Source organism: Homo sapiens, chromosome 9 (genome assembly GCF_000001405.40).
Source record: "Homo sapiens chromosome 9, GRCh38.p14 Primary Assembly".
In the NCBI taxonomy this organism is placed as follows: domain Eukaryota; kingdom Metazoa; phylum Chordata; class Mammalia; order Primates; family Hominidae; genus Homo; species Homo sapiens.
In genome coordinates, this window is record NC_000009.12 from 94,219,416 (window position 1) to 94,246,357 (window position 26,942).

The 26,942-nt window shown below is 38.3% G+C and overlaps 1 long non-coding RNA gene, 1 other non-coding gene and 1 pseudogene across 2 annotated transcripts in view; 2 read left to right on the forward strand and 1 right to left on the reverse strand.

Moving 5' to 3' along the window:
- LINC02603 (long intergenic non-protein coding RNA 2603) overlaps window positions 1-26,942 on the reverse strand; it is an 82,743-nt gene that overhangs the window by 42,847 nt on the left and 12,954 nt on the right. The gene's annotated exons all lie outside the window — the stretch shown is intronic.
- On the forward strand, window positions 14,063-14,166 carry LOC124902342 (small nucleolar RNA U13). Its single transcript, XR_007061918.1, has one exon. It is a non-coding gene; the product is annotated as a small nucleolar RNA U13 (small nucleolar RNA).
- On the forward strand, window positions 26,275-26,344 carry LOC124902332 (uncharacterized; annotated as a pseudogene).

The window sequence follows — 26,942 nt, forward strand, 5'->3', positions numbered from 1 at the left end:
GTCAAGAGAATATACATTCTTCTCAGCACCACATCACACTTATTCCAAAATTGACCACATAGTTGGAAGTAAAGCACTCCTCAGAAAATGTAAAAGAACAGAAATTATAACAAACTGTCTCTCAGACCACAGTGCAATCAAACTAGAACTCAGGATTAAGAAACTCACTCAAAACCGCTCAACTACATGGAAACTGAACAACCTGCTCCTGAATGACTACTGGGTACATAACGAAATGAAGGCAGAAATAAAGATGTTCTTTGAAACCAATGAGAACAAAGACACAACATACCAGAATCTCTGGGACACATTTAAAGCAGTGTGTAGAGGGAAATTTATAGCACTAAATGCCCACAAGAGGAAGCAGGAAAGATCTAAAATTGACACCAAAACATCACAATTAAAAGAACTAGAGAAGCAAAAGCAAACACATTCCAAAGCTAGCAGAAGGCAAGAAATAACTAAGATCAGAGCAGAACTGAAGGAGATAGAGACACAAAAAACCCTTCAAAAAATCAATGAATCCAGGAGCTGGTTTTTTGAAAAGATCAACAAAATTGATAGACTGCTAGCAAGACTAATAAAAAAGAAAAGAGAGAAGAATCAAATAGATGCAATATAAAATGATAAAGGGGAAATCACCACCAATCCCACAGAAACACAAACTACCATCAGAGAATACTATAAACACCTCTACACAAATAAACTAGAAAATCTAGAAGAAATGGATAAATTCCTGGACACATACACCCTCCCGAGACAAAACCAGGAAGAAGTTGAATCCCTGAATAGGCCAATAGCAGGCTCTGAAATTGAGGCAATAATTAATAGCCTACCAACCAAAAAAATTCCAGGACCAGATGGATTCACAGCCGAATTCTACCAGAGGTACAAGGAAGAGCTGGTACCATTCCTTCTGAAACTATTCCAATCAATAGAAAAAGAGGGAATCCTCCCTAACTCATTTTATGAGGCCAGCATCATCCTGATACCAAAGCCTGGCAGAGACACAACAAAAAAAAAGAGAATTTTAGACCAATATCCCTAATGAACTTTGATGCAAAAATCCTAAATAAAATACTGGCAAACCAAATCCAGCACCACATCAAAAAGCTTATCCACCATGATCAAGTGGGCTTCACCCCTGGGATGCAAGGCTGGTTCAACATACACAAATCAATGAATGTAATCCAGCATATAAACAGAACCAAAGACAAAAACCACATGATTATCTCAATAGATGCAGAAAAGGCCTTTGACAAAATTCAACAGCGCTTCATGCTAAAAACTCTCAATTAGGTATTGATGGGACATATCTCAAAATAATAAGAGCTATCTATGGCAAACCCACAGCCAATATCATACTGAATGGGCAAAAACTGGAAGCATTCCCTTTGAAAACGGGCACAAGACAGGGATGCCCTCTCTCACCACTCCTATTCAACATAATGTTGGAAGTTCTGGCCAGGGCAATCAGGCAGGAGAAAGAAATAAAGGGTATTCAATTAGGAAAAGAGGAAGTCAAATTGTCCCTGTTTACAGATGACATGATTGTATAATTAGAAAACCCCATCATCTCAGCCCAAAATCTCCTTAAGCTGATAAGCAACTTCAGCAAAGTCTCAGGATACAAAATCAATTGTGCAAAAATCACAAGCATTCCTATACACCAACAACAGACTAAGAGAGCCAAATCATGAGTGAACTCCCATTCACAATTGCTACAAAGACAATAAAATACCTAGGAATCCAATTTACAAGGGATGTGAAGGACCTCTTCAAGGAGAACTACAAACCACTGCTCAATGAAATAAAAGAGGACACAAACAAATGGAAGAACATTCCATGCTCATGGATAGGAAGAATCAATATCATGAAAATGGGCCATACTTCCCAAGGTAATTTATAGATTCAATGCCATCCCCATCAAGCTACCAATGACTTTCTTCACAGAATTGGAAAAAACTACTTTAAAGTTCATATGGAACCAAAAAAGAGCCCACATTGCCAAGACAATCCTAAGCCAAAAGAACAAAGCTGGAGGCATCACGCTACCTGACTTCAAACTATACTACAAGGCTATAGTAACCAAAAGAGCATGGTAGTGGTACCAAAACAGAGATATAGACCAATGGAACAGAACAGAGCCCTCAGAAATAATACCACACATTTACAACCATCTGATCTTTGACAAACCTGACAAAAACAAGAAATGGGGAAAGGATTCCCTATTTAATAAATGGTGCTGGGAAAACTGGCTAGCCATATGTAGAAAGCTGAAACTGGATCCCTTCCTTATGCCTTATACAAAAATTAATTAAAGATGGATTAAAGACTTAAATGTTAGACCTAAAACCATAAAAATCCTAGAAGAAAACCTAGGCAATACCATTCAGGACATAGGCATGGGCAAGGACTTCATGTCTAAAACACCAAAAGCAATGGCAACAAAAGCCAAAATTGACAAATGGGATCTAATTAAACTAAAGAGCTTCTGCACAGCAGAAGAAACTACCATCAGAGTGAACACGCAAGCTACAGAATGGGAGAAAATTTTTGCAATCTACTCATCTGACAAAGGGCTAATATCCAGAATCTACAAAGAACTTAAACAAATTTACAAGAAAAAAATCAAACAACCCCATCAACAAGTGGGCAAAGGATATGAACAGACAGCTCCCAAAGAAGACATTTATGCAGGCAACAGACACATGAAAAAATGCTCACCATCACTGGCCATCAGAGAAATGCAAATCAAAACCACAATGAGATACCATCTCACACCAGTTAGAATGGTGATCATTAAAAAGTCAGGAAACAACAGGTGCTGGAGAGGATGTGGAGAAATAGGAACACTTTTACACTGTTGGTGGGACTGTAAACTAGTTCAACCATTGTGGAAGACAGTGTGGCGATTCCTCAAGGATCTAGAACTAGAAATACCGTTTGACCCAGCCATCCCATTACTGGGTATATACCCAAAGGATTATAAATCATGCTGCTATAAAGACACATGCACACGTATGTTTATTGCAGCACTATTCACAATAGCAAAGACCTGGAACCAACCCAAATGTCCATCGATGACAGACTGTATTAAGAAAATGTGGCACATACACAGCATGGAATACTATGCAGCCATAAAAAGGATGAGTTCATGTCTTTGTAGGGACATGGATGAAGCTGGAAACCATCATTCTGAGCAAACTATCTCAAGGACAGAAAACCAAACACTGTATGTTCTCACTCATAGGTGGGAATTGAACGAGAACACTTGGACGCAGGATGGGGAACATCATACACTGGGGCCTGTGGTGTGGTGAGGCGGGGGGAGGGATAGCATTAGGAGCTATACCTAATGTAAATGATGAGTTATTGGGTGCAGCACACCAACATGGCACATGTATACATATGTTACAAACCTGCACATGTACCCTAGAACTTAAAGTATAAAAAAAAAAAAAAGAAAAGAAACTGCCATACTGTTTTCCAAAGTAACTGTACCATTTTCCATCACCACTCACAATTAGGGTTCCAGTTGCTTCACACCCTCACTAACACTTGGCATGGTCGGTCTTTTGAATTTTAGCTATTCTAGTGGGTGTGTAGTGGTATTGCATTGTAGTTTAAATTTACAGTTGACTGATGACTAATGATACTGTCCATCATGCTTGTGCTTACTCACTATTTGTATACATTCTTTGGTGAAATACCTGTTCAAATATTCTGTCCATTTTTAAATTGGGCTGTTTGTCTTCTTAGTATTTAGGTATAAGTGATCTTTATATATTCCAGATACAAATCCTTTGTCTGATATAGCAGTCCCCCATTGTCTGATTCAAGTCTCTTGGTCTTGCTTTCTGCAGTTCCAGTTACTAGTGGTCAATTGCAGTCTGAAAATAGGTGAATATAGTACAATAAGATATTTTGAGAGACAGAGACCACATTCACATAACTTTTATCACAGTATATTATTATAATTGTTCTATTTTATTAATAGTTATTGCCGTTAATTTATTACTGTGTCTAATTTATAAGTTAAACTATATCATAGGTATTTGTGTGTAGGAAAAACCATAGTGTATATAAGGTTCAGTACTACCCACCATTACAGACATCCACCGAAGGTCTAAGACATCAATTAGCCTATTTTACCATAGGCTATAAGAGCACATTCTCATGGCTCCCCTTGCCCAATCCTGCCTCATCCCCTTTCCTTTCATAAGTGTTACTCCTTAATAATTGCTTTTCTACTCCTCGATCTCGGCATCTGCTTCCCAGAGGACTCAACTGACACACATCTTTAAAGAAAAATAGGCAGATTTATATAAAGGCAATTCACAAAAGGAATGGTGAAATAATTAGGAAAATGAAAAGTTACGGAATAGTAAGATAGACGTTTTTATCTATCATATTAGCAAAGTTTACAGAAGTTGAATAATATCTGTGTTGGCTAGCATGTATTGGGAATGTAAATTGTCAAGTATGTGGTCGTGTAAATTGACATACACATTTTGGAAAGCTGTTTTGCAAAATATTTTAAAATTACATGACTCAGAAATTTCACTTTTTAAATGTACTTTAAAGAACATTTGCCAATGTATGAAATGAGGCATGTTTAATAATATGCATTGTAACATGATATATAATTGTTCAACCATTCTGGAAAGAAACAAATTGAAACTGACAACAGTATACGCCCCTGAGGTAGTTTTGTAGAACCAGCTGAAATTAGAGATCCCTTTATTCTTTGGCCAAGATTATACTGAATTTTTAAAAATTTTTTATTGTGGTACAATATACATAATATCTCTTTAACCATTTGTAAGTGTATAATTTAGTTGCATTAAAAGCATTCACATGTTGTTAACTATCATCACTATATATACTCAAAATTTTCTCGACCCCAACATAAACTCTGAATCCATTAAACAAAAATTCCTCCTTCCCTCTTTCCCCTCGTCCTCTAGTAATCTCTATCTTACTTTTTGTCTCTATAAATGTGCCTATTCTATCTGATACAAGTGAATTCATACAATATTTGTCCTTCTGTATCTGGCTTATTTCACTATGCATAATGTTTTTGAAAGCCAACCATGTTGTAACATATATAAAAATTCCATTTCTTTTAATGGTTGAATAATATTCCATTATATGTATATAGCACATTTTGTTTATTCATTCAACAGTTGATGGACACTTGGGTTGTTTTCACCTTTTGGCTATTGTGAATAACGCTACTGTGAAAAGTGGTGTACAAATATCTGTTTAAGTCCCTGCTTTCAATTCTTTTGGATATATACCTAAGAGTAGAATTGCTGGATTTCTGTATTTATCATTTGAGGAACTGACTGATAAATTGTATGCCACAGCAGCTGCACTATTTTGCATCCCCACCAGCAATACAAAAGGATTCCAACTTCTCCACATACTTGTCAACATTTATTATTTTGTTTCTGAAAAAATTATAGCCATTCTAGCAGATGTGAAGTGGTATTTCACTGTCATTTGATTTGCAGTTCCCTAATGGCAAATGATATTAAACAGCTTTCCATGTGCTCATTGGCTATTTGTGTACTATTTTTGGAGAAGTGTCTATTCACATCCTTTGCCCATTTTTAAAAATTGGATTGTTTTCCTGTTGTAGGGGGTATTTTTATTTTTATTTATTTTTTAGACAAGGTCTCACTCTGTCACCCTGGCTGGAGTGCAGTGGCACGATCTCAGCTCACTGCAACCTCCACTTCTGGGCTTAAGCTATCCTCCCACCTCAGCCTCCCAAGTAGCTGGGACTACAGGCACATGCCACCATATCTGGGTAATATTTGTATTTTGTGTAGAGACGGGTTTTGCCATATTGCCCAGGCTGGTCTCAAACTCCTGGGCTCAAGCCATCTACCCGCCTGGGCCTCCCAAAATGCTGGTGAGCAGTGAACCCAGCTGGACTTCCTGGGTCGAGTGGGGACTTGGAGAACTTTTCTGTCTTACAAGAGGCTTGTAAAAATGTACCAATCAGCACTCTGTAGCTAGGACTGTAAAACTCACCAATCAGCACTCTGTAGCTAGCAAGGGGATTGTAAAACTCACCAATCAGCACTCTGTAGCTAGCAAGGGGATTGTAAAATGCACCAATCAGCACTCTGTAAAATGCACCAATCAGTGCTCTGTAAAATGCACCAATCAGCGCTCTGTAAAATGCACCAATCAGCAGAATCCTAAAAGTAGCCAATCGCAGGGAGGATTGAAAAAAAGGCATTCTGATAGGACAGAAATGGAAAATGGGAGGGGACAAATAAGGGAATAAAAGCTAGCCACCCAGCCAGCAGTGACAATGGGCTGGGGTCCCCTTCCATGCTGTGGAAGCTTTGTTCTTTTGCTCTTCACAATAAATATTGCTGCTGCTCACTGTTTGGGTCCGTGCCATCTTTAAGAGCTGTAACACTCACTGTGAAGGTCTGCAGCTGCATTCCTGAAGTCGGCCAGACCATGAACCCGCTGGAAGGAACCAACTCTGGACACACTGGGAGCCACCACACCCAGCCAAAAGTTCTTTATATATTCTGATTACTAGTTCTTTATCAGGTATGTGACTTGCAAATATTTTCTCCCACTCTAAAGCTTGCCTTTACTTGATAGTATCCTTTGATGCAGAAAAGTTTTAAATTTTGGTGAAACCCAAGTTACCTACTTTTTTTCTTTTTTTTTGAGACAAGAGTCTCACGCTGTTGCCCAGGCTGGAGTGCAGTGGTGCGATCTTGGCTCACTGCAACCTCTGCCTCCCAGGTTCAAGCGATTCTCCTGCCTCAGCTTCCTGAGTAGCTGGGACTACAGGCATGCGCCACCATGCCCAGCTAATTTTTGTATTTTTAGTAGAAACAGGGTTTCACCATCTTGGCCAGGCTGGTCTCAAACTCCTGGCCTCAAGTGATCCACCCACCTCAGCCTCCCAAAGTGCTGGGAATACAAGTGTGAGCCACTGCACACAGCCTTACTTTTTTTCTTTTGTTGCTGGTGGTTTTGGTGTCATATCCATGAAACTGTTGCCAAATACAATTGTGTGAAGATTTTCTCCAAAATTTTCTTCTAAAAGTTTTATAGTTTTAGCTCTTATGTGTAGATCTTGGATGCATTTTGAGTTAATTTTTTATGTTGTCCAAGGTAAGGATCCAACTTCATTCTTTTGCATGTGGATATTGTTTTCCCAGTACCATTTGGTGAAAAAATGTCCTTTCCCCATTGAATGGTCTTGGCATCATTGTTGCAAATCAATCGATCATATATATGTGAGGGTTTATTTCTGAACTCTATTCTATTGCAATAGTCTATATGTCTGGCTTTATGCTAGCACCGTAATGTTTTAATTAATGTAGCTTTGTAGTAAGTTTCAAAGTTAAGAAGTATGAGTCCTCCAACTTTATTCTTTTTAAAGGCAGTTTTAGCAATTCAAAGCCCTTTGTAATTTCATATGAATTTGAGGATCAGTATAATGTTAAGTCTTCCTGTCCATAAACACAGGATGTCTGTCCATGTATTTAGATTAGGTCTTTTTTAATTTCTTTCAGCAGTGTTTTATAGTTTTCAGTGTACTAGTCTTTTGCCTTCTTGGTTAGATTTATTCTTCACTATTTAATTATTTTAGATATTACTGTAAATAGAATTGCTTTCTAAGTTTTCTTTTTGGATTGTTTGTTGCTGACATATAAAAACAGATAATTTTCATATATTGATTTGTACACTGCAACTTTGCTGAATTTGTTTATTAGCTGTAGTAGCTTTCATGTGGATTTTTGGGATTCCTGTGAATAGAGATAATTTTACCTCTTCCTTTCAATTTGAAAGCCCCCCCACACACACCTATTTTTTTATCTCATCTAATAGCTCTGGCTAGAAATTACAGTATCGTGTTGAATAGCATGACTGAAAGCAAGCATTCTTTCCTGTTCCTTATCTCGGGGGAAACTTTCCATTTTTCACCATTATGATGTTAGCTGTGGACTTTTCACAAATACCTTTATTATGTGGAGACATTTTCCCTCTAATCCTAATTTTCTGAGTTTTTATCATGAAAGAGTATGGATATTGTCAAATGCCTTTTCTGCATCAATTGAGATGGTCATGTTTTTTTCTCCATTCTGATTATGTGATCTATTACATTGATTTTTCATATGTTGTGCCACTTTTGCTTTCCTGAGATAAATCACATTTGGATATCATAAATAATTATTTTTCTTTTTTCTTTTCTTTTTTTTTTTTTTTTTGGTGACAGAGTCTTGCTCTGTCTCCCAGGCTGGAGTGCAATGGTGCAATCTTGGCTCACTGCAACCTCTGCCTCCCGGGTTCAAGGGATTCTCCTGCCTCAGTCTCCCAAGTAGCTGGGATTACTGGTGCACGCTGCCACGCTCAGCTAAATTTTTTTGTATTTTAGTAGAGACAGGGTTTTACTGTATTGCCCAGGCTGGTCTGGAACTCCTGAGCTTAGGCAATCCACCTGCCTCGTCCTCCCAAAGTGCTAGGATTACAGGTGTGAGCCGCGCCCAGCCCAAATAATCATTTTAATATGCTGTTGGATTCAGTTTGCTAATATTTTATTGAGGATTTTTTAACCTATGTTTATGAGAAATATTGGGCTATAATTTTCTCTCTTGTGATGTCTTTATCTGACATTGGCATCAGAGTAATGTAGCCTTGTAGAGTGAGTTAGGACTATTCTCTCCGCTTCAGTTTTGTGGAAGAGTTTGAGAAGGATTGATGTGAATTCTTCTTTAAATATTTGGTAGAATTCTCCAGTACAATATCTGGTCCAGGACTTTTCTTTGTTGGGAGGCTTTTCATTACCAATTCAATATTCTTACTTGTTATAAAGCTATGCAAAATTTGTTTCTTCTTGAGTCAGTTTACATGATTCATGTGTTTTAAGGAATGTGTCCATTACTTCTAGGTTATCTAACTTGTTGGCATACAGTTGTTCATTGTATTCTCTTACAATCCTGTTTATCTGTGTAAGGTTGAGAGTAATGTCCCCACTTTCATTTCTGATTTTAGTTATTTACATATCTCTTTTTTTCTTTGTCAGTTGAAGTAAAGTTTAGTCAATTTGTTGATCTTTTCAAAGAACCAACTTTTGGTTTTACTGACTTTTCTCTACTGTTTCTCTACTCTATTTTATCTAAGCTCTAGTTCTTATTATGTTGTTCCTTTTGCTAGCCTTTGGCTTAGTATGTTCTTTTCCTTGTTCATTGAGGTGTAAAGTTAGGTTATAGATTTTGAACATCTTTTTAAAAGTAGGCATTTTCAGTTCTGGATTACCTTCTGAACACTGCTTTTTCTGCATCTCAAAAGTTGGATCATGGGGTTTTTGGTTTGTTTTTAACCATTCTGCCAACTGCTGTTTTTTATTTGAGAGTTTAACCCATTTATATTTAAAGTACATACTGATAAGGGAGAACTTAGCTTTTCCATTTTGCTATTTGTTTTCTATATGCCTTATAGCCTTTTTGTCCTTCATTTCCTCCATTACTGCCTTCTTTTGTGTGTAATTGGTTTGTAGTGGAACATTTTGATTCCATTCTTGAATTGATGCCAACTTAACTTCTATATCATACAAACACTCTGCTCCTATATAGCTCCATTCTTTTGATGTTACCACTGTCACAACTTATATTTTTATATATTGTGTGCCCAATAATATAGTTTCATAATGTTTATATATTATTTTTAACATACAGAAAAAAAGAGGAGTTAAAAAACAAAATTACAATTATGCTAGCTTCTATGATTTTCCATATATTTATCTTTACCTCTGATCTTTCTTTCTTTTTTTTCCTGAGACAGAGTCTTGCTCTGTCACTCAGGCTGGAGCACAGTGGTACAATCTCAGCTCACTGCAACCTCTGCCTCCCGGGTTCAAGTGATTCTCCTGCCTCAACCTCCCAAAGTGCTGGGATTACAGGTGTGATCCACTGCACCCAGGCTTTATTTCTTTATATGGCTTCAAATTACTATCAGTACTTTTATTTTGACTTGAAATATTCCCTTTAGCATATTTTGCATGGAAAGTTTTTTTTTTTTTTTTTTTGAGTTGGAGTCTTGCTCTGTCACCCAGGCTCGAGTGCAGTGGCATGATCTCAGCTCACTGCAACCTCCACCTCCCAGGTTCAAGCAATTCTCCTGCCTCGGCCTCCCGAGCAGCTGGGAGTACAGGCATGCACCACTACACCTGGCTAATTTTTGTATTTGTAACAGAGACGGGGTTTCGCCATGTTGGCCAGGCTGGTCTCGAACTCCTGACCTCAAGTGATCTGCCTGCCTTGGCCTCCCAAAGTGCTGGTATTACAGGTGTGAGCCACTGTGCCTGGCCTTGGAAAGTCTTATGGTAATGAACTCCCTCAGCTCTTGTTTATCTGGGAATGTATTAATTTCTCCCTCATTCTTTAAGGGCAGTTTTTCTGGATATAGAATTCTTGGTAGACTATTATTTCTTTCAGCACTTTGGATATGTTAACCCACTGCCTCCTAGCCTCCAAAGTTTCTCATGAGAAATTAGCTGGTAATCTTGCTGAGGATCTCTTTTGTGTGATGAGTTACTAATACTTCCAGGATTCTTTCTCTGTCTTTGTCTTCAACATTTTAATTATAAGAGGTCTTCGTGTGGATCTCTTTGAATTTATCCTTCTTGGAATTCGTTGAGCCTCTTGAATTTGGAGATTCATATCTTTTGTCAAATTTGGGGAGTTTTCAGCCATTATTTATTTCTTCAAATTCTTTTTGCCCTTTTCTTGCTTTTTTTTCCCTTTGGAACTCCCATAATGCATATGTTGGTCTGCTTGGTAGTATCTCAAAAGTCCCTTATGCTCTGTTCACTTTTCTTCATTTCTTTTTTTCCATTCCTCCCACTTTATAACTTCAATTGTCCTATCTTCAATTTTACTGATTCTTTCTTCTGCCTGTTCAGATCTCTTTTTGTAACCATCTAGTAAAATCTTCATTTCAGTTATCGTACATTTTAGTTCCAGAATTTATTTTTGGTTCCTTTTTTATATTTTATATCTTTTTATTGATATTCTCATTTTGTTCATACAACATTTTCCTGTTTTGCTCATTTCTTTCTGTAGATCTTCGAGTATCTTTAAGACAGTTGTTTTGGCCAGGCGTTAGGCACTTTGGGAGGCTGAGGCAGGTGGATCATGAGGTCAGGAGTTCAAGGCCAGCCTGGCCAGTATGGTGAAACCCCATCTCTACTAACAATACAAAAGTTAGTTGGGCATGGTGGCGCATGCCTGTAGTCCCAGCTGCTTGGGAGGCTGAGGCAGCAGAATCGCTTGAACTCAGGAGGTGGAGGTTGCAGTGAGCCGAAATCATGCCACTCCACTCCAGCCTGGGTGACAGAGCAAGACTCTGTCTCAAAACAAACAAACAAAACAACAACAACAAAAAAAACCCTTGTTTTAAAGTGTTTGTCTAGAAGTCCAATGCCTGCGATTTTTTTGGAATAGTTTCTGAAGATTTAATTTGTTCCTTTGAATGAGCCATGTTTTCTTGTTTCTTTGTATGCTTTGGGATTTGTTGTTGATGTTGAAAACTGGATATTTGTTTATCATATAATGTGGTAATTCTGGAAATCAGATTCTCCCCCTTCCCCAGGGTTGCTTTCTATTTTTTATTGCTGTCGGGTATCTCTGTGCTAGAGATCATCCTGAGGCAAAAGCTTAAAGGCTTTTCTATACTTTGTCTTTCCCTGGGCGGTATGGTGACATTGTAAATATTCTCGTATATATGGTTGCTTTTCAATGTTCTAAGTTTTACACGTCTGGCTCCCAACACTAGAAAAAGGGAGGAAAAAAAAGAAGAAAAGACCCTTCTCACACCATTCTAGATACTGTCCCTGGATGCTGCTTCTGTTGGTGGGGTTGAAACAATGGCTTCACTTTTCTGTGTCTGCACTTTTCCATCATCAGAAGCAGCAGTCAGCAGTTCAGAATACAGAATTATTAGAGGATGAGATCTGTATTGACCACCCTGGCTTCTGAAACTCTCACCAGGAATGTGGCCATGGCTGCTTACCATGGTACTGATGTTGAAGAGATAGGTAGCTATGACTGAAATTGACTGAAATTAATCAGAATTTAGCAGCTAAGCCCTTCCCTGGAAGTTGCAAGTGTTCAAATGACCTCCAGAGTTACAAAATAGTTACATCGGTAGTTAGTTAACTGATAGTTTCTACTAGCGTAATTGCTGTCTGGGTGTAAAGACAGATTCCTGATGCTTCCTGTTATGCCATATTCCTTGATGTCACTCTATACAAATTTTTAATTGCTATTTTATATCAAAAAATACATAAAAGAGACAGCATTAGAGCACAAGAGGTTGTATGTGGTCAATTTCCCATCAAGTTTAACCACTCACATATTGCTAATACCAGTCATGCACTTGTGCATATGCTGGGATTGTTTACTTTTCAGAAAAAAATTGAGGACCTCAATCTAGTAATGAATTACATAGAACTGGGGAGAGATGACAGAAGAGTTGCTAACAACTTGTATCCAAACTGCTGAGTGCAGAAGCAGGGACTACTCTGAAGAAACAAAGTGAGGTGGGGGGTGGGGGTTGCAGGAATGTGGGCCCTGAAAGCATCCAATTACTATATTCTTTAATTTTTATTTGGGTTATTGATGCTTCTCTTTCCTTAAACAAAAACATGATAAATACATTTAAATTTCTCTTCTGAAAACTTGGTAATTCAATACAACCCTATGACTAATGACAATTAAAACAGTGGAACAAAATTGTTTCTAAAAACTTGAAGGCATTTAAGAGCTAAAAAGGTAGTGAAAAATCTGGTCAAGATGAAAAAAAGGTATTGTAGAAATCCAGAGAGGTGAGACAAGCTTTTGGGGATTTTTTGTATGGAGATATTTGTGTATACTGAGAGGTGGCTGAGAGGCTGAGAAGTGCTTTTCATAGCACTTTGGAGCAAGAGGGTACCAGTCCACACTCTGGGTTGGCCTCTAAAACCTGTACCCTAGAGGTAAGAATGAGCCAGAAGTAAACTAGTTCTCACATGGATTATAGCTCAGTTTTGTGTCATATGGGTAGCTCAGAAAAATTCCAATTTGTGAAACGATACTAAGGTGATTCTGGATCCCCTGTAACCCAATAATCTGACAGAAGCAAGTAAAAATCCTCTCTGAAGAAAGATGACATCATCCTAGGCTCTAAGCTCCACACTTTTTCTACAAACACTTTCTCAATACAGTGGTCTAGCAAACACTATGTATGCAGGCATACAATCGTATAGAACAGCATAACCAAAACTCAAACAAAAAAATTAACAATAGAAACAAACTCACGGGGGCTGTGATACTGGAATTAACAGATTTTGACTCCAAAATAAATGGTTACTCTGTTCAAGGAGTTAAAAGTCAAGAAGGAAAATTTTGTGAGATAACTAGAAATTCTAAAAATAAAGCAGATATGACAAAGAACTGTGTAGACGTTGTACAACTGAAAAATATAGGAACTTAAATTTAAACCAAATGGATGTTTTTAATAGAATATTAGAAACAGCTGATAAAATAATAAACTGAAAGATCAGAATGAATATTTAGAATAAATAACACTGAAACAAAAAGAAAAACACAACAGAAGAGATGGAAAAAAACATGGAGGATGCAGTGTGAGGGTTTAAGAATGTCAGAGTTTTAGGCCAGGCGCAGTGGCTCACGCATGTAATCCCAGCACTTTGGGAGGCCGAGGCAGGTGGATCACGAGGTCAGGGATTCGAGACCAGCCTGATCAAGGTGAAACCCCGTCTCTACTAAAAATACAAAAATTAGCTGGGTGTGGTGATGTGTGCCTGTAATCCCAGCTACTTAGGAGGCTGAGGCAGGAGAATTGCCTGAACCCGGGAGGCAGAAGTTGCAGTGAACCAAGATCACACCACTGCACTCCAGCCTGGGCAACAGAGCGAGACTCCATCTCAAAAAATAATAATATCAGAGTTTTAGAAGAGAGGGAGAAAATTGGACAGAAAAATCATTTGAAAAGTGGTTAAGGATTTTCCCTGATCCTTTTGTATCTCATAAACATGATGATTGGGTTTTCACACACACATGTAAGATGTGTCACCATCAATCCTTGTTATGACATCAGCACATTACCCATCTAACATGATTGAAAAAAAAAAAAAAAGAATTTTCCCCAAATGGTGAAAGACATCAAATTCCATAGTAAAAGTCCCAATGACCCCTATTAGGATCTACAAAAAGAAATCCACACTTTGACACATCATAACAAAACAGAAGAAAACAAAAACAAGGAGAAAAATCTTAAAAGCGGCCAAAGCTTAAAAGACACATTTTGCCTTCAAAGACCACCAATTAAGACAATAAAAGATCTTCAAAGTGTTGAAAAAATAAATAACTGCTGAACTAGAAATCTACACCCAGCAAAGGCATCTTTAGAAAACTGAGGCAAAGAATTCTGTTTGGAGCAAGATGACAGTTTTGCAGTTTTTTCATCTCCCTACATTCTCTAATCAAAATAGATGAAGCAACAGAATAGTAAAAGAAACATGGACATCTTAACTGAACTGAGGAACAAGGTAACTAATAATCCCAGAAGAAAACAGGGTGGGCCAAACTATCAGCATTCTTGCAGGAAGTGTGAAAGGAAGAGAAATGAGAATTCTGGTAGTCCTAAGGGCTTCAGAACACAGAAATTGCCACAAATATTTATCCCTAATAGGAGTAGCTCTGAGTGTGGTAATAAACTGAAGCACCAAATAGATTTAAGCAATAGACATGGGAGAAGTTTTCTCCATTTCTAATTTCCAGATGAGTACAAAAAATGTCTATGAAGGCCGGGCATGGTGGCTCACACCTGTAATCCCAGCACTTTGGGAGGCCAAGATGGGTGGATCACCTGAGGTCAGGAATTCAAGACCAGCCTGACCAAAGTGGAGAAACCTCATCTCTACTAAAAATACAAAAAATCAGCCAGTCGTGGTGGCAGGCGCCAGTAATCCCAGCTACTCGGGAGGCTGAGGCAGGAGAATCACTTGAACCCAGGAGGCGGAGCTTGCAATGAGCTGAGATCGCACCAGTGTACTCCAGCCTGGGCAAGAAGAGCAAAACTCCATCACACACACACAAAAAGTCTATGAAGGAACAGGGTATACAGGACATGAATGGAGGTGAGACTTCTGTGAATGTACCTTTTTGTAAGTGATTTGCATAATTCTAGGGATTTGAAATTAAAATGATAGAATAGTGACAGAAGAATTAGACAAAAAGGCCTCTCAGAATTTAGGCCAGAGTGTGAAGATGTTCCCCCACCCCCATGTGAAAAGTAATTAAATAATCCTCTCCTGCAGAGGAGAGTCACAATAATAACATTGTTAATAAAATACACTGAATATCAGCCAACTTCTTTCTTGGTGGTGGCTATGCTTTCTCAGCTAGTGTTTGAACAAAATAGACATGGTAATAGAAACAGATGTTACAAATGGATTAACAAGTGGACTTACTCTCACCCAGGTTCACCTGGCTGCTGCAACACTGAGTCCTCAGCCTTCCAGCAGCAAAGACCAATAATTCATTGACACTGTAAACAGTTTATTCTAGATCTTAATTTCCTCCTTTTTACAATGTTGGGCTAGCAACATCTTTTATGGAAATTTGTTTGCCTTAGTCATTGTTATGGCATTATACATATAATTGGGAGGTGAAGCCAGCTGGGCTTCTGGGTCGGGTGGGGACTTGGAGAAATTCCAGACATATAATTACCTCTGAATAAGTGTGACACAGACTGCTAGGTTTTTATAATAGCGTTAGTGTAGTGCTTTTTTGAAAGTTGAGCATGGCACCAGCTGGGAGATATCACCTTGAGAAGCTGGAATGTTTTCTTTTTTTTAAATACGGAGTCTCACTCTGTCGCCCAGGCTGGAGTGCAGTGGCATGATCTCAGCTCACTGCAACCTCCGCCTCCCGGGTTCAAGTGATTTTTGCACTTCAGCCTCCCAAGTAGCTGGGACTACAGGCGCCCGCCACTCACTTGTGTAAGATTGGAATTATTTTTTCCTTAAAATATTTTACAAAGTTCACCAGAGGAGCAATCTGGGCCTGCAGTTTTCTTTGAGGGAAGAAAAGAAATGGCTAATTTTTGTATTTTTAGTAGACAGGGTTTCACTATGTTGGCCAGGCTGGTCTCGAACTTCTGACCTCAAGAGATCCTCCCTCCTCGGCCTCCCAAAGTGCTGGAATTACAGCCATGAGCCACTGCCCTGGCCAGAATGTTTTCCTATAGGCTATAGCATATGTTTTAAGCCAGTATGTGTCCATGCTACCAGGCAAGAAAAAGAGATAAAATGTGTTCAGATGGAAAGAAAGAGGTGAAACTGTCTTTATTCACAGGCAACATGATCCTATATGTAGAAAATCCTAAAGAATTCATAGCAAACTATTAGCACTAATAAATGAATTCAGGAAGGTCACAGAATACAAGCTCAATACAAAAAAATTGGTTGTATTTCTATATACTGCAATTAGCAATACAAAAATTCAAATAATAACAGATCAAAAAGAAATACTTAGGAATAAATTTAAGAAAAGAGGTTTTAAGACTTGTGGACTAAAAACTGTAAGACATTGCTGGGGCAGGGTGGGGGGATTAAAGAAGACCTAAATAAATGGAGAAGATATACCATGTTCATTGATTGGAAGATTCAATATTGTTACAATGACAACTCTCTCCAAATTGATCTATAAATGCCATGTAATCCATGTCAATATTCTAGCAGACTTCTTTGCAGAAATGGCAAGCTGATCCTGAAACTTATATGGAAATGGAAGGATGCAGAATAGCCAAAACAATTTTGAAAAAGAAGAACGATGTGGGAGGACTTCTGTTTCTTGATTTTAAAATTGAACAGAATGCTATGGTAATGAAGACAGTGTGGTACTGGTGTATAGATAGCCATATGAATCAATAGAACAGAATGGAGAGTCCAGAAATTAACCCACATATACATGATCAATTGATTTTTGACAAAAGTGCTAAGGCAATCCAGTAGGGAAAAGGATAGTCTTTTCAACAAGTGGTGCTATGACAATCGGATATACATATGCAAAACAAACAATTTTTAGACCTTACTCCATACCAAACACAAAAAAATCAACTCCAAATAGATTATAGAAAAGTATAACTGAAGCCTGGGCATGGTGGCTTATGCCTGTAATCCTAGCACTTTGGGAGGCCAAGGCAGGAGGATTACTTGAGGTCAGGAGTTCGGGACCAGCCTGGCCAACATGGTGAAACCCTGTTTCTACTAATAATACAAAAAAAAAAAATTAGCCAGGCATGGTGGCACATGCCTGTAATCCCAGCTACTCAGGAGGCTGAGGCACAAGAATTGCTTGAACCCGGGAGGCGTAGGTTGCAGTTGGCAGAGATGGTGCCACTGCACTCCAGCCTAGGTGGCAGAGTGAAACTGTCTCACAAAATAAATAAAATAAAAATGCATATTTTTGATAATGCCTACATTAGTCGACATGGAACCAAAATAGCAATATTTTTTTTTAAAAAGTAGAACTGAAAATATAAAACTTTTAGAAAAAAATAGGAGAAAATCTTCATGATATTGGCTAGGGCAAATATTTCTTAGATATGATACCAAAAGCACAACCAATAAAGAAAAAAATGTGATAAGTTGAACTTGATCAAAATTAAAAACATTTGTATTTCAAGAGATATCATTAAGAAAATAAAATAATTCACGTACTAAGAAAACTTTTACAAATCAAATATCTGATAAAGGACTTGTATTCAGAACATATATATATATTTTTTTAATTTTTTATTTAATTTTTTTATTTTTTGAGACAGCGTTTTGCTCTTGTTGCCCAGGCTGGAGTGCAATGGCACAATCTCGGCTTACCACAACCTCCAACTCCCAGATTCAAGTGACTCTCCTGCCTCAGCCTCCCAAGTAGCTGAGATTACAGGCATGTGCCACCACTCCCGGCTAATTTTGTATTTTTAGTAGAGACAGGGTTTCACCATGTTGGCCAGGCTGATCTCAAACTCCTGACCTCAGGTGATCCACCCACCTCAGCCTCCCAAAGTGCTAGGATTAGAGGCATGAGCCACCGTGCCAGGCCCAGAATATATATTTTAAAACTTTACAACAAAGTATAAAAGAAAAAAATAGAAAAAAATTAAATACGAGAGAATATATTCAAATGGCTATTAAGCATGTGAAAAGATGTTTAACATCATTATTAAGAAAACGCAAATTAAAGCAGCAACAAACCAATAAATAACTATAATAACTATTTAAATAGTTGAACTGTTTACAATAAATAGTTCTGTTTGTCCCATAGTTACACCATTTGCACTAGGTACCAAAAAGCAAAGTGGAAGTTATATTTCTACTACCAAAATGACCCATTAGAAAAATTTTTACTTCTTGTTCTCGTGACTTTGGGCTCCACTGGCTTAGAGATTTTAGTACTCAAAGGGGGAATAATTTCTCTGGGGCACACCACAGTGATTATACTGAACTGGAAATTGAGACTATCTGGCCATTTTGAGTTCTTCATAGCACTAGAGCCACAGACAAAAAGGTTACACTGGTGGAATCAATTAACTAGTATTTTGCTAAAGATACATTTATATTCATGATGGATGTTGGCATTAATTTTTTTGTGTAATGTCCTTGTCAGATTTTGATATTAAGATTATGCTGTTTTCACAAAACAAATTGGGAAGTGCTCCTCATTCCTGTGTTTTTGAAAGCACTTAAGATTGGTATTATTTCTTCCTTAAAATATTTTACAAAGTTGGCCAGAGGAGCAATCTGGGCCTGCAGTTTTCTTTGAGGGAATTATGACTAATTCAATTATATTAACACATTATAGCTGTTAAGTTTTCCTGTTTCTTCTAAAGTGAGGTTTAACAATAGTTTATATCTTTTAAGAAATTTATTTTATCCAAGTTATTACATTTATTGGCATAAGCTTGTGCATAACTTATTATCCTTTTAATTCTAAACTGCTAATCTTCCCAGTTTTGTTTCAGATATGAGGAATTTGTGTTCTCTCATCTCTCTGTCTCTCTGTCTTATTTGGTGTACTGGATACTTGTGCTGGCAACTTGGTCAATCTGTGAACGACATTACCCAGAATTCACTTCTCCTTATGGTTTTGGTTAGTGAATCTGCATGAGATTTTAGAAGCAGAAGCAGTCTCTCTCTGAAGCTGTTCAGTGTGAGATAGTTGATGGACAGATGCAGAGTTGCCTGGTGGTTTCCAGCTCATCCTGGTGCTCCTCTGTTTTACATCCAGCTCTCCTTCCCAGCTGCTGAACCCAGCCCAATCAGGAGATGCTTGGCTGCAAACTTTCAGAAGTGTTATCTAAACAGAGCCAACAGCCACCATATGACCTTGTTTCCATTCCCATTTTGGTAACTAAATGTGCTAGGCTTCTCCAATTATCTATCTTTATCTCTCTCTCTCTCTCTCTTTTTTTTTTTTTTTTTTTTGAGATGGAGTCTTGCTGTGTCACCCAGGCTGGAGTGCTGTAGTGCGATCTCAGCTCACTGCAAGCCCCGCTTCTCGGGTTCACGCCATTCTCCTGCCTCAGCCTCCCAAGTAGCTGGGACTACAGGCACCTGCCACCACGGCCAGCTAATTTTTTGTATTTTTAGTAGAGACAGGGTTTCACCGTGTTAGCCAGAATGGTCTCAATCTCCTGACCACGTGATCCACCCGCCTTGGCCTCCCAAAGTGCTGGGATTACAGGCGTGAGCTACTGTGCCCGGCCTATATGAGTAAGTTCTTTAATGGCTATTTGTGAGATTTTGGTGCACCCATTACCCGAGCAGTATACACTGCACCTTATTTGCAGTCTTTTCTCCTTCACCCCCTTCCCATCCTTTCCCCCTGAGCACCCAAAGCCCATTGTGTCACTCTTATACCTTTGCATCCTCATAGCTTAGCTCCCAATTATGAGTGAGAACATAGGACGTTTGGTTTTCCATACCTGAGTTACTTCACTTAGAATAATACTCTCCAATCTCATCCAGGTTGCTGCAAATGCCATTAACTCATTCCTTTTTATGGCTGACTACTATTCCATTGTATATAAATATACCACGGTTTCTTTAACTGCTTGTTGACTGATGGGCATTTGGGTTGGTTCCACATTTTTGCAATTGCGAATTGTGCTGCTATAAACATGTGTGTGCAAGTATCTTTTTCGAATAATGACTTCTTTTCCTCTGGGGTAGATACCCAGTAGTGGGATTGCTGGATCAAATGGTGGTTCTACTTTTAGTTCTTTAAGGAATCTCCACACTGTTTTCCACAGTGGCTGTACTAGTTCCCATTTCCACCAGCAGTGTAGAAGTGTTCCCTGTTCACCACATCCACGCCAACATCTACTATTTTTTGATTTTTTGATTATGGCCATTCTTGCAAGAGTAAAGTAGTATTGGATTGCCAATTATCTCTTTAGGCTCCAATTTGTCATCTAGCACCAATGCTTCAGGAGGACTTCTGAACCTTCACTTCTCTAGCTCTTCCCACTATTATATAAGGTATAGCTCCTAATCTTACTCTCTCATCCAGTAACACTCATTAAGGCTCTGCTTTCCTGAATAAAACCTGAACAATGTCCAATTTGTCAATATTTTCAAAGAATCAACTTTTGGCATTTTAATTTTTTAAGTTGACTGTTTTATATGTCATTGATTTCTACTCACTATTCTTTCCTTCTGTTTACATTTTAATTTTTTCATCTTAATGTGGAATTTTAGATCACTGATTTCAAACCTATTTACTTTTTAAATGTAAGCATTTAAAACTGTAAAATTTCTGTGGCCAGGCACGGTGGCTCACACCTGTAATCCTAGCACTTTGGGAGGCCGAGGCGGGTGGATCACCTGAGGTCAAGAGTTCAAGACCAGCCTGGCCAACATGGTGAAACCCCATCTTAACCAAAAATACAAAAATTAGCCAGGCGTGGTGGCAAGTGCCTGTAATCCCAGCAACTCAGGAGGCTGAAACAGGAGAATTGCTTGGACCCAGGAGGTGGAGGTTGCAGTGAGCTGAGATTGTGCCACTGCATTCCAGCCTGGGCGACAGAGCAAGACTCTATCTCAAAAAAATAAAAATAAAAAATAAATTGTAAAATTTTCTCAAATGGGATCTAATTAAACTAAACAGCTTCTGCACAGCAAAAGAAACTACCATCAGATTGAACAGGCAACCTACAGAATGGGAGAAAATTTTTGCAATCTACCCATCTGACAAAGGGCTAATATCCAGAATCTACAATGAACTCAAACAAATTTACAAGAAAAAAACAAACAACCCCATTAAAAAGTGGGCAAAGGATATGAACAGACACTTCTCAAAAGAACACATTTATGCAGCCAACAGACACATGAAAAAATGCTCATCGTCACTGGTCATCAGAGAAATGCAAATCAAAACCACAATGAGATACCATCTCACACCAGTTAGAGTGTGATCATTAAAAAGTCAGGAAACAACAGGTGCTGGAGAGGATGTGGAGAAATAGGAACACTTTTACACTGTTGGTGGGACTGTAAACTAGTTCAACCATTGTGGAAGTCAGTGTGGCGATTCCTCAAGGATCTAGAACTAGAAATACCATTTGACCCAGCAATTCCATTACTGGGTATATACCCAAAGCATTATAAATCATGCTGCTATAAGGACACATGCACACGTATGTTTATTACGGCACTATTCACAATAGCAAAGACTTGGAACCAACCCAAATGTCCAACAATGATAGACTGGATTAAGAAAATGTGGCATATATACACCATGGAATACTATGCAGCCATAAAAAAGGATCAGCTCATGTCCTTTGTAGGGACATGGATGAAGCTGGAAACCATCATTCTCAGCAAACTATCGCAAGGACAAAAAACCACTGCATATTCTCACTCATAGGTGGGAATTGAACAATGAGAACACATGGACACAGGAAGGGGAACATCACACACCGGGGCCTGTTGTGGGGTGGGGGAGCAGGGAGGGATAGCATTAGGAGATATACCTAATGTTAAATGATGAGTTAATGGGTGCAGCACACCAACATGGCACATGTATATATATTTAACTAACCTGCACGTTGTGCACATATACCCTAAAACTTAAAGTATAATAAATAAATAAAAAGAAGTTTAAATCCAGCCTAGGCAACATAGTGAAACCCTATCTCAAAAATAAATAAATAAATACATACATAATTAAAAAAATAAAAAATAATATAATAAATTAGTAAAATTGAAGAAATCTATTTTATATCCACAGAAGTTGAGTTATTATTATAAACAGATTCTTAAATAAATCCCATTAACTACTTAAAAAAACATTTTTCTCTAAGCACTACATTAGCTAAATCCCCACAAATTTGTATTTGTTGTATTTTCACTATCTTTTTTAAACTTTTATTTTAAGTTCAGGGGTACATGTGTAGGTTTGCTATAAAGGTAAACCTATGTCATGGGTGTTTGTTGTACAGATTATTTCATCATCTAGGTATGAAGCCTAATGCCTATTAGTTATTTTTCCTGATCATCTCCCTTTTCCCATCCTCCACCCTCCGATAGGCCCCAGTGTGTGTTGTTCCCCTCTATATGTCCATGTGTTCTTATCATTTAGCTCCCACTATTAAGTGAGAACATGTGGTATTTGGTTTTCTATTCTTATGTTGGTTTGCCAAGGATAATGGCCTCCATCTCAACTGATGTCTCTGCAAAGTACATGATCTAGTTCTTTTATATGGTTGCATAATATTCCGTGGTGTATATGTACCACATTTCCTTTATCTAATCTATCACTAATGGGCATTTGGGTTGATTCCATGTCTTTGCTATTGTGAATAGTGCTGCAATGAACATACACATGCATGTGTCTTTATTACAGAACAATTTATATTCCTTTGGGTATATACTCAGTAATGGGATTGCTGGGTTGAACAATATTTCTGTGTTTAGGTCTTTGAGGAATTGCCATACTGTTTTCCACAATGATTGAACTAATTTACACTCCCACCAACAGTGTATAGGTGTTCCTTTCTCTCCGCAACCTCACCAGCATCTGTTATTTTTTTACGTTTTAGTAATAGCCATTCTGACTGGTGTGAGATGGTATCTCGTGGTGGTTTTGATTTGCATTTCCCTAATGATCAGTGATGTTGAGCTTTTTTTCATGATTGTTGGCCACATGTGTGTCGTCATTTAAAAAGTGTCTGTTCATGTCCTTTGCCCACTTTTTAATGGGGTTATTTGGTTTTTTCTTACAAGTTTGTTTAAATTCCTTATAGATGCTAGATATTAGACCTCTGTCAGATGCATAGTTTGCAAACATTTTCTCCCATTCTGTAGGTTATTTGTTCACTCTGTTGATAGTTTCCATTGCTGTGCAGAAATTCTTTGGTTTAATTAGATCCCATTTGACAATTTTTGCTTTTGTTGCAATTGCTTTTGGTGTCTTCATCATGAAATCTTTTCCCGTTCCAACCAGGCACGGTGGCCCACGCCTGTAATCCCAGCACTTTGGAAGGCCGAGGTGGGTGGATCACTTGAGCTTAGGAGTTTGAGACCAGCCTGGCCAACATGGTGAAACCCAGTCTCTACTAAAAATACAAAAATGAGCCAGGTGTGGGGGCTCATACCTGCAATCCCAGCTACTCGGGAGGCTGAGGCAGGAGAACTGCTTGAACCTGGGAGATGGAGGTTGCAGTGAGCCGAGATCATGCCACTTCACTCCAGACTCCAGCCTGGGTGACAGAGCGAGACTCCATCTCAAAAAAAAAAAAAAAAAAGAAAAAAAAATCTTTGCCTATTCCTATGTCCTGAATGGTATTGCTTAGGTTGTCTTTCAGGATTTTTACAGTTTGGGGTTTTGCATTTAAACCTTTAATCCATCTTGAGTTTATTTTTGTATATGGTGTAAGGAAAGGATCCAGTTTCAATTTTCTGCATATGGCTAACCAGTTATCTCAGCACCATTTATTGAATAGGGTGTTCTCTCTCCCATTGCTTGTTTCTGTCAGTTTTGTCAAAGACCAGATAATTGTAGGTGTGGCCTTATTTCTGGGTTCTCCATTCTGCTCCATTGGTCTATATGTCTGTTTTTGTACCAGTACCATGCTGTTTTGTTTACTGTAGCTGTGTAGTATAGTTTGAAGTTGGGTAGCGTGATGCCTCCAGCTTTGTTCATTTTGCTTAGGATTGCCTTGGCTGTTTGGGTTCTTTTATGCTTCCATATGAGTTTTAAAATAGTCTTTTCTAGTTCTGTAAATAATCTATATTGTAGTTTAATAAGAATAGCATTGAATCTATAAATTGCTTTGGGCAGTATGGCCATTTTTATGATATTGATTCTTCTTATCCATGGGCATGGAATATTTTTCATTTGTTTGTGTCATCTCTGATTTCTTTGAGCAGTGTTTTGTAGTTCTCTTTGTAGAGATCTTTCAGCTCCCTGATTAGCTGTATTCCTAGGTATTTTATTATTTTTGTGGCAATTGTGAATAGGATTGCATTCCTGATTTGGCTCTCAGCTTGACTGTTATTAGTGTATAGGAATGTCTGTGGAGAAAGGATCCTCCATCCTCATCTGATAGCAGTGAGATTGAATGAAATGGTATAGATTGAAGCTAGTCGGACTCCACTTTCCCTTCCCTCAGTGTCAGTGGGTTCCAGTGAGAAGCTGAACTTATACATTTACTCAGAGACAATGAATGTAAGTTAGTGCTCAGCTTTTTCTGTAAAGGTGTCAGTAGGGCTGAGAGTGGAGCTGAACTTCTACCCTAAGCATGTGAAAGAGGCAGTATAAATTAGTACTCTACTTCTGCAGGTTGGTGTCAGCCAGGCTTATCAGGGAGCTAAACATTCACTCCCACCAAGACCTGTGTGCTATACCTAAGCAAGGGGACTGCTGTTAAAAAATAATATTTTTTAGAATGTAAAGTCTCACATTATAATATTCCAAATATCCAAAATATAATTTTAAAAATCACACATAATACCAAGAACCAGGACAATTACAACTTTCATGAGAAAAAATAATCATTATCAACAGATACAAACAGTGATGAATCAGATATTGAAGTTCACAGGCTATCATAAAAGCAGCAATCATAAAAATGCTCCAATAAATAATTGTGAATTCTTTGAAACAAATGGAAACAATAGAAAATCTCAGCAGAAAACTGGGAATATTAAAAAGAACCAAAGGGAAATTACTGAACTGTAAAAACAATAACTGAAATTAGCAACTCACTGATGGGCAAAATAGTTAATTAAACATGACTGGAGTACTAAATAATGAACTCAGGTTGGGCGCGGTGTCTCACACCTGTAGTCCTAGCACTTTGGGAGGCTGAGGTGGGTGGATCGCTTGAGGTCAGGAGTTTGAGACCAGCCTGGCCAACACGGCGAAACCCCGTCTCTACTAAAAACACAAAAATTAGCCGGGCATGGTGGCACACGCTTGTAATCCCAGCTACTCGGGAGGCTGGGGCAGGAGAATCACTTGAACCCGGGAGGTGGAGATTGCAGTGAGCTGAGATCGCACCATTGCACTCCAGCCTGGGGAACAGAGTGACACTCCATCTCAAAAAAAGAAAAAAGAAAAAAAAATGAACTCAGTGACAGATACCTAGCGACTACACACTCTTAACAACATAGAGAAACAGACTAGGAAAGAAGGAATGGGGCCTCAGGGTCCTATGAGGCAATACCAACAGATGAAACATTTATATCATCAGAGTCCCAGAAAGAGAAAAGAAAGAGTATGAGACTGAAAAATATTCAAGGAAATAATGGCTGAAATTTTCCCAAAGTTGGCTAAAGTTATAAACCTACAGATTCAAGAAGCTGAGCTAACATAAATAGGATACGCCAAAAGAAATCCATGCCAGTACACATTATAATTAACCTTCTAAAAACAAAACACAAAGATATGCTTGCTTCAGGCTGGGCACAGTGGCTCACGCCTGTAATCTCAGCACTTTGGGAGGCCGAGGCAGGCAGATCACCTGAGATCAGGAGTTCGAGACCAGCCTGGCCAACATGATGAAACCCTGTCTCTACTAAAAATACAAAAATTAGCTGGGTGTGGTGGTGTGTGCCTGTAATCCCAGCTACTAGGGAGGCTGAGGCAGGAGTATAGCTTGAACCTGGGAGGAGGAGGTTGCAGTGAGCCGAGGTTGCACCACTGCACTCCAGCCTGGGCAACAGAGAAGATTAGCATGGCCCCTGTGCAAGGATGACACACAAATTCATGAAGACTTCCATATTGAAAAAAACAAAAAAACTAAACACAAAGAAAAAAATCCTGAAAGTAGCATGTGAGAGAAAGGACACCTTACCTATAGGGGAAAAGCAATTAAAATGACAGCAGATTTCTCATCTGCAACCATGCATGTTAGAAGGAAATGGCATAACATTCTTCAAGTTGTGAAAAGGATTGTTGGTGAAATCTACATGTAGCAAGAATATCCTCAGGAATGAGTAGAAAATAAAGAATTTTATTTCTCAGACAAATGAAAACAAAGAGTATTTGTTGTTAGCAGGCCTACGTTTTAAAATGGCTTAAAATGTCAAAATAGGATATAAAAAGCACAAGGAGGCTTGGAACTTTGGAAAAAGAACAATGGAATGGGTAAAAATAGGAATAAATATGAAGGACTCTCATTCCCTTCATGAATTTCTTACATCATATTTGATATAAAAATTTTGTCACATGATATGGTGTTTAATGTATGTAGAGGAAATACTTAAGAGAATTATACTTTAAAACTAGAGAGGGATTTCTACTTCTGAAAAGATGGAATAGACATAGTTTTCCCTATTTCTCCCATTCAGTACAGATAAAAGCAAACATAAGTCCGTGAAAGAT